The 13,957-nt window shown below is 40.7% G+C and overlaps 1 protein-coding gene across 2 annotated transcripts in view; it reads right to left on the minus strand.

Annotated features, from left to right (window-relative positions):
- Nucleotides 1-1,038: 1,038 nt before the first annotated feature.
- The window catches only part of RBKS (ribokinase), a 109,009-nt gene continuing 96,090 nt past the window's right edge, over nucleotides 1,039-13,957 (minus strand). For both annotated transcript variants that reach the window (NM_022128.3, NM_001287580.2), the window contains one exon: nucleotides 1,039-1,448. In NM_022128.3, the coding sequence (NP_071411.1) occupies nucleotides 1,275-1,448 (174 nt within the window). In that variant the 3' untranslated portion in view covers nucleotides 1,039-1,274. The remainder of the gene's footprint in view (nucleotides 1,449-13,957) is intronic.

The following is a 13,957-nucleotide window of genomic DNA, read 5'->3' on the forward strand; positions in this document are numbered from 1 at the left end:
TCCTTTGTCAAGTTCCCGGTTGAAAAGGATCTGCTCATTTTAAGATCTGTTGGTTCACATCCTACCCCATTTAAAGCATTTGTGTGGGAGAATGATACAGTGCCCACCCTGACTACAAAATAAGAAGTTCCTTCTCCATGGCCCAAACCTGGCTCTGAGGGAAATGTAAGAGCAGCTCTCTGGCAGTGGAATTAGAGGCAGATAGTTGATGAGTCTTAGGGCTTGTGGCCTCATGGTCAATCAGCTATTTTATGGCATCTTTTGATAAAGCTCTGGTTCAAAGTAATAATAGGTGAGATCTTGGCTCTTTTTAGGCTGAAACTGTATATAGTGTTGAGTTACAAGAAAAATCTTTCACCTGATCCTAGCTAAGCTGATGTAAAGGGTCTGTGACATGCATGAATTGCTTAAAAAAAAAAAAAACTTACCTGGTTTAACAAATGACTTACTTATTCAGCCCATGGGTTGAATGTGGCCCATAGGTGGTGGTTACTTCTTTTTTTTTTTTTTTTTTTTGATATAGGGTCTGCTTTGTCACCCAGGCTGGGGTGTAGTGGTGTGATCATAGCTCACTGCAGCCTTGAACTCCCAGGCTCATGTTATCCTCCCACCTCAGCCTCCTGAGTAGCTGGGACTACAGGTGTGTGCCACCACACCTGGCTAATTTTTTGTATTTTTAGTAGAGATGAGGTTTTGCCATGTTGGGCTCAAGCAATTCTTCTGCCTTGCTTCCCAAAGTGGTGGGATTACAGGCGTGAGCCACCATGCCCCTGTGGTGTTTACATTTAAAAAAAAATTAGTTGCTGATACATAAACATTGAAGGGTTTCAATAAATATCCAAACTTCTGCCTTCCCTTACAAAACCAGAGGCGTTGACAACACTAAGCTGAAGTTGAGTATCAGCTGCCCCTCTTAGAAAGTGCCCTTTCCCTTATTTAAGAAGAGTCTGCTCTGACTCTAGACACTGTTGTCCACAACCCCTGCCATATGGTGCACATGGGGCATTAACAATCTGTTGACAATTGAGGTTACTTGTCTTTATGTTTGTACAGATCTTGGTTGTGGAATCTTTAATTCTGGTTGTTTTGTGCAAATGCATGGAAAGCAAAAGAATCATCGTTATAAATAAATTGAAGCTTGAGGATGACTTCGTAAAAGAACTAATATTTGCAAAGAAAGGGGACGAGGACATTTTCTAATAAGCATTAGCCAGGAGCAGCCACCCCCAAGTACATTTTATTCCCAGGTATATTTATTTTGGGACTAATAGCAATCAAAACAGAGTAAGCGGAAGGTCTTTTTTGTAAGGGTAAGATGACTGTGTTCCTGCAGCCTGGACACTGACTGCTGCAATGAAATTGGATCTGTTGAGCATGTCTTCCAAGGACAGATTTGGATAGTAAGCCAGGTAGAAGGCCAGAGCTCCCACAAAGCTGTCACCAGCACCCTGTAATTGAAAGCACAGTTTTGAAGATAAGCATGTAGTCAATCTGTTGCCCAAACTGCATATTTTAAAGATATTTAAGTAAACTTAATTTTAGTTTTAGATTTACAGAAAAGGTACAAGGATAATACAGAGTTTCCACGTACTCAGACCCAGTTCTGTTAACACCTTACTGTGGTACATTTATCACCACTAAAGAAATAATATATTATTAAGTGAACTTCATACTTTTTTCAGAGTTTACTAGTTTTGCTTAATGTCCTTTTTCTGTTCCAGGATCCCATCCATCATACCATATTACATTTAATCGTCATATTTCCATAGACTCCTGTAGGCTGTGATAGTTTCTTAGACATTCTTTGTTTTTGATGATTTTTTTTTTCTTTTTTTTAAAGAGACATGGTCTCGCTCTGTTGCCTGGGCTGAAGTGCAGTGGCACAATCATAGCTCACTGCAGCCTGGGCTCAACTCCTGAGTGAACCCCTGGCTGGGCACAAGCAATCCTCCTGCTTCAGCATCCCAAGTAGCCAGGACTACAGGCATGTGCAACACTTAGCTAATTTTTAAAAATTTTAATTAAAAAAAAAAGGGTCTCATTATGTTGGCCTGCCTGGTCTTGAACTGCTGGCCTCAAGCAATCCTCCTGCCTCAGCATCCCAAATGGTGGGATTACAGGTGTGAGCCACTGCACTTGGCTGTTGTTGATGACTTTGATAGTTTTGAGGAGAACTGGTTATGTATTTTGTAGCACATACCTTAATTGGGATATGTCCGTTTTTCTTACAGGCTGTGGTTATGGTTTTTGGAAGACCACAGAGGTGAAATGTCATTTTCATCACATCATATTAAGGGCACATATGATCAACATGACTTCTTACTGATGGTGTTAACCCTGGTCACCTGGCTAAGGTAGTCTTTGCCAAGTTTCTCCACTGTAAAGTTACTTTGCTCCCTTTTTTCATGTTGTACTCTTTGTTTCTTTAATTTTAATTTTTTTTTTCATGTTGGAAAGCAAGGCATTACATGTATTCCACTCTTAAGGGTTGGGGAATTATTCCCTGAAGTTATGCTCTATCTCCTTAAGGGTGGGGTTTCTATGCTCTATCTCCTTAAGGGTGGAGTTTCTACATAAATTATTGGGAGTTCTTCTGCATGGGAGATTGGTCTCTTCCATTTATTTATTCAGTCATTTATATCAGTATGAACTCATGGTTGTTTTATTCTTTGGGCTATAATTCAATGCTATATTATTTTGTTGTTCGAATTGTTCCAGCTTTGGCCATTGGGAGCTTTTCCAGTTGGCTCCTGTGTCCCTTTGACATACGCCCATCCTTTTGGTTTTGAGTACTTTCTGGCATTACAAGATGCCCCAGGGGGCCGGGCGTGGTGGCTCACACCTGTAATCCCAGCACTTTGGGAGGATGAGGTGGGCAGATGGCTTGAGCCCAGGAGTTTGAGACCAGACTGGGCAACATGGCAAAACCTCGCCTCTACAAAAACAAAACAAACAAAATCCCCCAAGATGCTCCAGGGTCATCTTGTATAGTCCCTGCCCTAGCCCTAGAATTAGCCGTTTCTTCATTAAAAATGCACGCAGAAAGAGCTGAGAGCCATTTGATATTATTTCTAAACCAAATATAGGGACACATCAAGTTTCTTTCCATTTTCTCTGAAGCTCCAAAGATCCAAGCTGGTGAAGGCCATGGAAACAGAAAACGTCCTGAGAAAGTCTGTGGACCTGTGCCTTTGGACAGAGCAATACCTGCTCGTGTTTGTCTAACAATTGTGTTCAGGACAATTTAAATGTGACTACACAGTCTCACTTGAAAAACCATTCTTAGGCCGGGCGCAGTGGCTCACGCCTGTAATCCCAGCACTTCGGGAGGCCGAGGCGGGCGGATCACGAGGTCAGGAGATCGAGACCATCCCGGCTAACACGGTGAAACCCCGTCTCTACTAAAAATACAAAAAATTAGCCGGGCGAGGTGGTGGACGCCTGTAGTCCCAGCTACTTGGGAGGCTGAGGCAGGAGAATGGCCTGAACCCGGGAGGTGGAGCTTGCAGTGAGCTGAGATTGTGCCACTGCACTCCAGCCTGGGCGACAGAGCGAGACTCTGTCTCAGAAAAAAAAAAAGAAAAAAAAAAAAAGAAAAACCATTCTTGTATTCAACAGCTCTCAGGGTCATTTTCTTTTTTTTTTTTTTTTTTTTTTTTTTGAGACGGAGTCTCGCTCTGTCGCCCAGGCTGGAGTGCAGTGGCGGGATCTCGGCTCACTGCAAGCTCCGCCTCCCGGGTTCACGCCATTCTCCTGCCTCAGCCTCCCAAGTAGCTGGGACTACAGGCGCCCGCCACTACGCCCGGCTAATTTTTTGTATTTTTAGTAGAGACGGGGTTTCACCGTTTTAGCCGGGATGGTCTCGATCTCCTGACCTCGTGATCCGCCCGCCTCGGCCTCCCGAAGTGCTGGGATTACAGGCGTGAGCCACCGCGCCCGGCCTCTCAGGGTCATTTTCTACCTCTTCCCAGTTTGTTGTTCCTTAGACCTAAGGGCTTTCATAACAAATCTTGAGGCTATACCTCAGGCTTTTTAAAGAACCTTGGCATGCAAGATTGTTTCAGTCACAGTTGATGTATTTAATGGGCTATGTGCCCAGCACAGTGATGGGTGCTAGAAAAGGACTAAAATCCATTGTGGATTAAATGCTAAATAGTATTGCAGAATTTATAAGTACTGTTAGATTTTAAGAAGGGGTTTGAAGAAAGCGCCCCCCACCTTGCCTCTGCCAGAAGGGAGTCCTTATAGAATGAGCCAGATTTATAAAGAGAAGGCAGACCTCAAAGAATAAAGACACAGAAGGAGGAAGGACCAGAGTGAGCTCATGAGACCATGAGTGGCGTTAAGGAGAATGACATTTCCCCTTGTTTACACAGACAAAGCCATCAATATTAAACTTGCCAAGGGGTGATAGTAATGCGGTGTGAATGCAACTTTCATTCCCCCCATGAATGTTGTCTGAGTGCCTAAAATGTGTTAGGCCCTATGCTAGGTGCTTTGCAACATTTACTGGTCCTTCCTGAAGGATGCAATGGAGAAAGAGACAGACATGGTTCCTTCCCACTCTCAGTTTGCAGCACAGCAGCCAACATGGGAAAGGCCTGAAACCTGAGGAACTATGAGCTGACTGGAGGGTTATTATGAAAACATGGAAAATGCCACAAGATATGAAGAGTTACGGCAAACTCCCAGATGCCAAGTCTTGACTCCTCCTTACATTACATACAAAATTAAATTCTAGCTAAAGTCTTGAATGTAAAAAACAAAACAGTAAAATAATAAGATGAAAATTTTGATGAATATTTTTGTATAACCCCAGACGGAAAACATAAGCAAGTCAGTAAACACAAAAAGACATGAAAAAAATAACAGGTTTTTAATTTTATAAACATATTTTAAAAATTATATGTCCAAAGATACTATAAATAAAGCCAAGTGAAAAAGTACAGATTTGGTGAAAATCCTTGCAATACATGTAACATATCCTCAGTATTCAAAGAATATCTTCAGACTGCTAGGAAAAAGACAAATGTAGGATAAAAATGAATAAAGATATAGGCCTGCAATTTCAGAAAAGGAAATGTATATGGTAGGTAATAAACACACGAAAAGATGGTAATGACTAGAAAATGTGTAACGCTCGGATGGGTGCGATGGCTCATGCTTGTAATCCCAGCACTTTGGGAGGCTGAGGCAGGTGGATCACGAGGTCAGGAGTTCAAGACCAGCCTGGCCAAGATGGTGAAACCCTGTCTCTACTAAAAATACAAAAACTAGCCGGGCGTAGTGGCAGGTGCCTGTAATCCCAGCCACTTGGGAGGCTGAGGCAGAGAACTGCTTAAACCTGGGAGATGGAGGTTGCAGTGAGCCGAGATCACACCACTGCACTTCAGCCTGGGTGACAGAGCGAGACTCCATCTCAAAAAAAAAAAAAAGAAAGAAAGAAAATGTGTAACGCTCTTTGATTCAACAATTTCAATCCTGCTCCTGGGAATCTCCTACAGAAGGAAAAGCTCCTGTAATATAGGAATATAGGTACAAAGATGCTTATTGCTGCATTATTTTCAAAGGCAAAACGCTGGAAACCATCTGATTGTCTATCAAATAGGATGAATAAACTGGTACATTCTTATTATGGAAAAGTATGCAGCTATTAATGAGAAAAGTCTAGCAACAGAAGCACATACTTGGAGAAATGTCCATTAGTTAAGTGAAAAAATGAGGTTTCAGCATCCATGATCCCATTTGGGGGAAAAGAAATAAAAGAATGAGAAAGACAAATACCTATCTATATGAGCATATGTGTATTTTTTTAAAGAATATAGAGAAAAATGAAGGATATGTATCAAATTGTGAATATTTGGTTTTCTTATGTGCAAGGTACAGGGACAGTGGTCTTTTCTTCTTTATATACTTTTATATTGTTTGATTTGCTATAAGCTTATAATATTTTTCCAAAAAAGTTTCAGATAATAAGAGTATGAATAGGTTAGCCACGCCTCTGTGCCTCCCTACCTTGCACCCTGACCAGAGTGGAGGCACAAGGTGGAAAGGAGACATTCTGGCATTGCCGATAGAAATCAGGTCTACCTAACCCTCTGTTAGCTAGCAGGGTATTTTTTGGCTGCAGACAAGGTTTTTTAGAAAGTTTTAAAAATATGGCTGGGCGCGGTGGCTCATGCCTATAATACCAGCACTTTGGGAGGCCGAGGCAGGTACATCATGAGTTCAGGAGTTCAAGACCAGCCTGGCCAAGAGGGTGAAACCCCGTCTCTACGAAAAATACAAAAAATTAGCCGGGCGTGGTGGTGGGTGCCTGTAATCCCAGCTACTCGGGAGGCTGAGGCAGAGAACTGCTTGAACCCGGGAGGTGGAGGTTGCAGTGAGCCAAGACCGTGCCACTGCACTCTCGCCTGGGCGACAGAGTGAGACTGTCTCAAAAAAAAAAAAAAAAAGAAAGAAAGTTTAAAAAATATTGTACCCACACCTGAAAACACTCTTAAAATCACTTAAATTCCCTTCCACTACAGCCAAGGCCAGGGAAACACAGGGCTTGGTGGAACTGTGTGTGCTGGAAGCATTATTTAGGCAGCAACGATTCTCACAACTTGATTACCCTTCATTCTCAGGGCTACAACATGTGTTGCTTTTTTCTTTCTTTCTTTTGAGATACGGTCTTGCTCTGTCACCCAGGATGGAGCGCAGTAGTATAATCATAGCTCACTGATGCCTTTGTCTCCCAGACTCAAGCAATCCTTCCACCTCAGCCTCCTGAGTAGCTGGGACCACAGGTGTGCACCACCACACCCAGCTAATCTTTTTATATTTTGTAGAGATGAGGTTGGCCAGGCACGGCGGCTCACGTCTGTAATCCCAGCACACTGGGAGCAAGACCAGCCTGGGCAACGTCGTGAAGCCCTGTCTCTACAAAAAACATAAAAATTAGCTGGGCACTGTGGTGTGTGCTTGTAGTCCTAGCTACCTGGGAGGCTGAGGCAGGAGGATCACCTGAGCCCAGGGATGTCAAGCCCGCAGTGAGCCGTGATCATGTCACTGCACTCCAGCCTGGGCGAAAGAGTGAGATCCTGTCCAAACAAACAAATAAAACAAATAAATAGCCAGGGTCTTCCCATGGTCTCAAACTCCTGGGCTCAAGGGATCCTCCCGCCTTGGCCTCCCAAAGTGCTGGGATTACAGGTACGAGCCACTGTGCCTGGCCTACACACTGTGTTGATAGGGAATAGAAGATAAGTCCTTCCTATATTAAAAATAAGGGGTTCCCAACAAAGAAAACTCTAGACTAGATGGCTTCGCTGGATAATCCTTGCAAACATTTAAGTGAGAAGTAATCCTAATTCTACACAAATTCTTTAAGAAAATAGCAGAGCCAAGGAAACACTATAATGCTAGTGTCACCATGATACCAAAACCAGACAATGACATTGCAAGAAAACAAGATCAATACCCTTTGTGAATATAGATGTAAAAACCTTAACTTTTTAAAGCAAATTAAATAAATATATGTGTGTGTATATATATATATAAAATATCTGATAATGCATCATGACCAAGTAGAATTTATCCCAGGAATGCAAGATTGGTTTAACATTTTAAAAAATCAGTGTAATTCAGTAATATTAAAAACCTTATGATTATATCAACAGGAGCTGAAAAAGCATATGACAAAATTCTACATTCATTCATGATAAAAGTTCAGCAAATTTAGAAATAAGGTGTAACTTGATCTTCTTGATAAAGAGCATTTATGAAAAATCTACAGCTAACATCATACTCAACCAGAAAGACTGAATGCTTCCTCCCTAATATTGGGAACAATCAAAGATGTCTGTTCTCACTACTTCTACTCAACATTGTACTGGATTGCCTAGCCAGTGCAAAAGGACAGGGGAAAAAAAAGAAAGAAAAGGCATACAGATTGAAAAGGAAGAAGTAAAACACTTTTTCTTTGTAGATGACATAATGACCTACGTAGAAAATCCTAAGAAGTCCAGCCAAAAAGCTACTAGAAATAGTAGGTTTAGCAAGGTAACGGGACACAAGGTCACTATAAAAAACCAACTGCAGCCAGGCGCGGTGGCTCACGCCTGTAATCCCAGCACTTTCGGAGGCCGAGACGGGTGGATAACAAGGTCAGGAGATCGAGACCATCCTGGCTAACATGGTGAAACCCCGTCTCTACTAAAAATACAAGAAAAATTAGCTGGGCATGGTGGCAGGCACCTGTAGTCCCAGCTACTCGGGAGGCTGAGGCAGGTGAATGGTGTGAACCTGGGAGGTGAAGCTTGCAGTGAGCCAAGATCGCATCACTGCACTCCAGCCTGGGTAACAGAGCGAAAAAAACCAATTCTATTTCTATATGTTAGCAATGAACAAGAACTCAAAGTTATCAAAACATTTGCAACAGCATTTTAAAAATGAAGTATTTAAGGCTAAATTTAACTGAATATGTGTAAGATCTATCCACTCTTGCTATGGAAAGTAAAAGAAAAATTAAAGAAAAACAAATGGTGAGAGTTTCAAGGACTGGAAAACTCAATATTCTTAAGATATAAATTCTCCCCAAATTGATCTATAGATTAATGCAATTCCAATAAAAATCCCAGCTGCCAACTATTGTAAATTAATAAACTGATTTTAAAATGTATATGTAAATGGAAATGACCTAGAATAGCCAAAACAGTTTTGAAAAAGAACAAAGTTTCCAGGCTTACCATAAGCTACAGTAATTAGACAGAGAGATACTGACATAAGGATAGACACGTAGCTCACTTGATAACTTGATAGAAGAGTCCAGATACAGACCCACAAATATATGGTCAACTTATTTCCAACAAAGGTATAGGTTGAGTATCCCTTATCTGAAATACATGGGACCAGAGATGTTTTGGATTTCAGATCTTTTTTTTTGGATTTTTGGAATATTTGCATTATACTCACTGGTTGAATATCTCTTATCCACAAATTTGAAATCCAATATACTCCAATGAACATTTCTTTTGAGGATCAGGTCGGCACTAAAAAAATTTCAGATTTTGAAGCTTTTTTTTTTTTTTTTTGAGATAGGTCTCACTCTGTTGCCCAGGCTGGAGTGTGGTGGCATGATCTTGGCTCACTGTAACCTCCGCCTCCTGGGTTCAAGCAATCCTCCCACTTCAGCCTCCCAAGTAGCTGGGAGTATAGATGTGTGCCACCACACCTGGCCTTTTTAAAAAATTTTTTTTGAGTCAGAGTCTCACTCTGTAGCCCAGTTTGGAGTGCAATGGTGCTGTCTTGACTCACTGTAACTTCCGCCTCCTAGGTTCAAGCAATTCTCCTGCCTTAGCCTCCCAAGTAGCTGGGATTACAGGCATCTGCCACCACGCCTGGCTAATTTTTGTATTTTTAGTAGAGATGAGATTTCACCATATTGGCCAGCCTGATCTCGAGCTCCTGACCTCGTGATCCACCCGCCACGCCCTCCCAAAGTGCTGGGATTACAGGCGTGAACCACCATGCCTGGCCAGCTGATGTGTGTGTGTGTGTGTGTGTGTGTGTATAGAGTGTGTGTGTGTGTGTTTGTGTGTGTATATATATATATATGTATATGTGTATATATATATATATATATATATGTATATATATATGTAGAGAGAGAGAGAGAGAGAGAGAGAGAGAGATGTGGTTTCACCATGTTGCCCAGGCTGGTCTTGAACTCCTAGGCTCAAGGGATCTACCTGCCTTGGCCTCTTGAAGTGCTGAGATTACAAGTGTGATTACAGGGATGACACTGCACCTGGCCCATGATTTTGAAGCATTTTGGATTGCAGATTTTGGATTAGGGAAACGCAACCTGTACCCAGTAATTCAATGGAGGAAAGGGCAGTCTTTTAAACAAATGGTTCTGGGACAAATGGATATCCATATGTAAGAACACAAACCCTTACCTCACACCATAGACAACAATTAACTCAAAATGGGTCACAAACCTAAATGTAAGAGTTGAAACAACAAACTTCTAGAAGAAGACAGGAGAAAAGCTGTAACCTTGTGCTAGGCAGATTTCTTAGGACACCAAAAGCACAAAGATTAAAAAACCTGATAAACTGAAATTTATCCAAATTTAAAGCCTCTGCCCTTCAAAAGAATATCAAAAGATAAGCCATGGACTGGGATAAAATATTTGCAAAACATGTATCTAGTAAAGTACTGTTATAACTCAATAATACAATCCAATAAGACCAACAACACAATAAAAATGGGCAAGAGATTTGAACAGAAGCTTCATCAAAGAAGCTTCATCATGCATATGCCAAATAAGTATATGAAAAGATGCTCAATATCATCAGACACTAGGGAAATGCAAATTCAAAACACAGTGAGATGGCATTATATACCTAGTACAAAGACTAAAATGTTTAAAGCTGAAAGTACCAATGGTTGGTGTAAATGTGGAGATACGAGAAGTCTTATTCATTGCTTGTGGGAATGCAAAATGATACAGACACTTTGGAAAATAGTTTGGCAGTTTCCTAATAATGTTAAACATATATTTATAAAACCCAGCAATTCTATTCCTAGCTATTTATCCAAAAGAAATGAAAGTATATGTCCACATAAAGACCTACATGTGAATGTTTACAGCAGCATTATTTATAATCACTCCAAATTGGAAACAATCCAGATGTTGTAGAACTGAAGAATGGATAAACAAACTGTGGCACATCCAGACAAGGCAATACTACTTAGCAATAAAATGGAAGGAACTGCTGATAAAACAGCATGGATGAATCTCAAAAGAATTATGCTAAGTGGGAGAAGCCAGGCACAAAAGACTACATATCATATTGTATGAGTTTTGTGATGGTGAATTTTACGTGTTAACTTGACTAGGTTGAATGATGCCCACATAGCTGGTTAAACATTATTTCTGTTTAATAGAAATAATGTTTCTGTGTCTGTGACAGTGTTTCTGGAAGAGACTGTCATTTTAATTTGTAGACTGAGTAAAGAAGATTGATCCTCACCAATGTGGGCAGGCATCTTCTAATCTGTTGAGGGCGTGGATGGAACTAAAAGGCAGAAGGGCAAATTCTTTCTCTCTCTCCTTGAGCTAGCACATCTATGTTCTCCCCTCTCCCTCAGCACACTAACTGGGATCTCAGGCCTTTGACCTCAGACTAAATTGTACCCCTGGCTTTCCTAGTTCTCCATCTTGCAGATCGTGGGCCTTCATGGCTTCCATAACTGCATGTGTCAATTCCCATAATAAATCTACACACACACACACACACACACACACACACTAAATATACATATACATATACATATACATATACATATACATATACATATACATATACGTATACATCTCTCTTCTTGGTCTGATTTCTCTGGTGAACCCCAACTAATATCAATTCATTTATATGAAATCCTAGAAAAGGTAAAAATGTGGCAACAGAAAGCAGGCCAGGGGCTGGGGAGTACTGACTGCAAAGGAACTGCACAGCAACTTTCTGGGGTGATGAAAATACTCTAGGTTATGATTATAGTGGTGATTAAATGACTGTATACATTCATCAAAACTCATTGAATCATGTACTGAAAATGGGTAAAATCTTATTGTATAAAAATTATATCTAATACAACTTATTTTTTAAGAAGGCAGAGGGGTGGGTATGTGTATTGAGTTATACAGGAATGTCAGGTTTGAAAACCTTGACAGTTACTTCCTGGGTTTACTATTGATTTACTCCAAAGCGTGTGGTTGAGATAATTACTGAGATTTACTGTGGGCCATGCTTAAGTGTTTTGATTGGCATATGGGAAGTTACTTGTCCTTATATTGAGAGCTCCAATTCCACCTCTGCTCTTCCAGTCTAAAGATTTCTTTCTTCTGGCAGCGTGGGCTTTGGAGTAAGATAGACCTGTATGTGAATCTTGGCCTCACCACTTACTAGCTTTATGACATTGGGGAAATTAATGTAAATTCTCTGTGACTTTGTTTTCTTATATATAAAATGAAGTTATTAACATCTCTCTCATAAGGATTTTGTGAACATTAAAAAACAGCTCAACTTTCAATAGAAGAGAGAAATTAAAAAATAAAAGCTAAGCAACTGTTAGTTCTTTCCTTTCTGACCAAAAGCATTTCTAGTCTTTTCCCTAATTAAAAGTTGATGGCTTTGCTTCCACTGAATCTATCATCCCTTGGTGCTCAATCTTTTTACCTAAAATCAATGAACAGAACTCTTAACACATGTCGTTTCTTCATTTATTTTTCCACTTCCTCCCTTGACCTCCCTTGCTCTTTTGCACACCCTCCACGCAGACTGGGCACGTTCACTTCACTGCTGGTTCACACTCTGACCTTCTCCCACTCCTTCTTGCCCTGCCAAGTCCCCCTTTCTCTGTGTCTAGTTTGGAAGCCATTGATCCTGCCAGTCTTCTTTACCTTTTTGGGCCTTCATTCAAAACCCTTTGCTGTCTTTAAGGCCCTGCTCCTTTATGATATCTTCCCAGAGTACCTCATTTTGCCAGAGTTACTCAAAACACTTCAACAACCTATGTGCTTAACCCAACAATTCCTATAAAAGGTCAGCATTCTATTTCCTGTTGGCCTTGCTATAGAGTGGAGCATAGATTAAATGGCCAAACCCACATCAGGAAAGAGCTCTGGCTGCAATTAGGTTGACTCATCCACAAAATGCAAAAGCAATTTACTTAAAGGATTCTGAAAATAGATAAACTGTTAACAGTCACATTAAATGTTATTAAGAATCCACAAGTCTATACTGATATAAAATAAATAAATATACTGGAGAAAGAAAAATTCTTCCTTACAGTAGAATGCCAGCTAGTAAAAACCTTTAAAAAGTCACTATTCTGCAACAATCATAGTGCTGTCTGATTCAGGAAGGAATCATCAATGGAGGCATTAACACTGCTGGGTAAAGGTAGGATGAGGGTAGGATATTTACAAGTTATAAATAATCCCCCCACAGATTATGTATTAATTACAGAGGCAAAAAGAGTAACTGTACACTTGAGAAACCTGCTAGGCACCACCTTAACCAAGTGACCAACAGTAGCATCACCAATAAGAAGACAAACTGACACCACTGCTCCCTGATGTGGGGCCTGGAGAAGGACACAAGGTCACGGATGTAGTATTCCTGCCTCAAATGCGTAAGACAGACCTAAATTGACATACATTCTACAAAACAATGAGCTTGTGCTGTTCAAAAAATATCAGTGTCATGAAAGACAACATAGTTTAAGAACCTGTTCCATATTCAAGGAGACTAAAGTAACACGTAGTCTTGGATTGGATCCTGAACCAAAAATGATAAAAAACCACTATTGGGACATTACAGGACTGTACATATAAGATTATCTCCATGTAAAACTTCTTGAATTTGATAATTATATTGTATTTTTGTTATGTCCTTTTTTTCAGGAGACATATCCTGAAGTATTAAGAGGTAGAATCATGATGTCTGTGACTTACTCTCAAATAGAAAAAAGGATGATATTGATGTATTTTGAGAGAAAGCAATAAAACAAATGTGGCAAAATGCTAATATTGGGGAAACTAGGTGAAGAGTATATGGGGCTACTGCAAATTTTCTGTAAGTTTTACTTTTTAAAAATAAAAAATTTTATTAAAGAAGTTTTGGGGGCTGGGCGCGGTGGCTCATGCCTGTAATCCCAGCACTTTGGGAGGCCAAGGCTGGCGGATCACCTGAGGTTGGGAGTTCAAGACCATCCTGACTAACATGGAGAAACCCCATCTCTACCAAATACAAAATTAGCCGGGCGTGGTGGTGCATGCCTGTAATAACAGCTACTTGGGAGGCCGAGGCAGGAGAATCGCTTGAACCTGGGAGGTGGAGGTTGTGGTGAGCTGAGATTGTGCCACTGCACTCCAGCCTGGGCAACAAGAGCGAAACTCCATCCC

The sequence above is a fragment of the Homo sapiens genome, chromosome 2 (assembly GCF_000001405.40).
Source record: "Homo sapiens chromosome 2, GRCh38.p14 Primary Assembly".
NCBI lineage: Eukaryota > Metazoa > Chordata > Mammalia > Primates > Hominidae > Homo > Homo sapiens.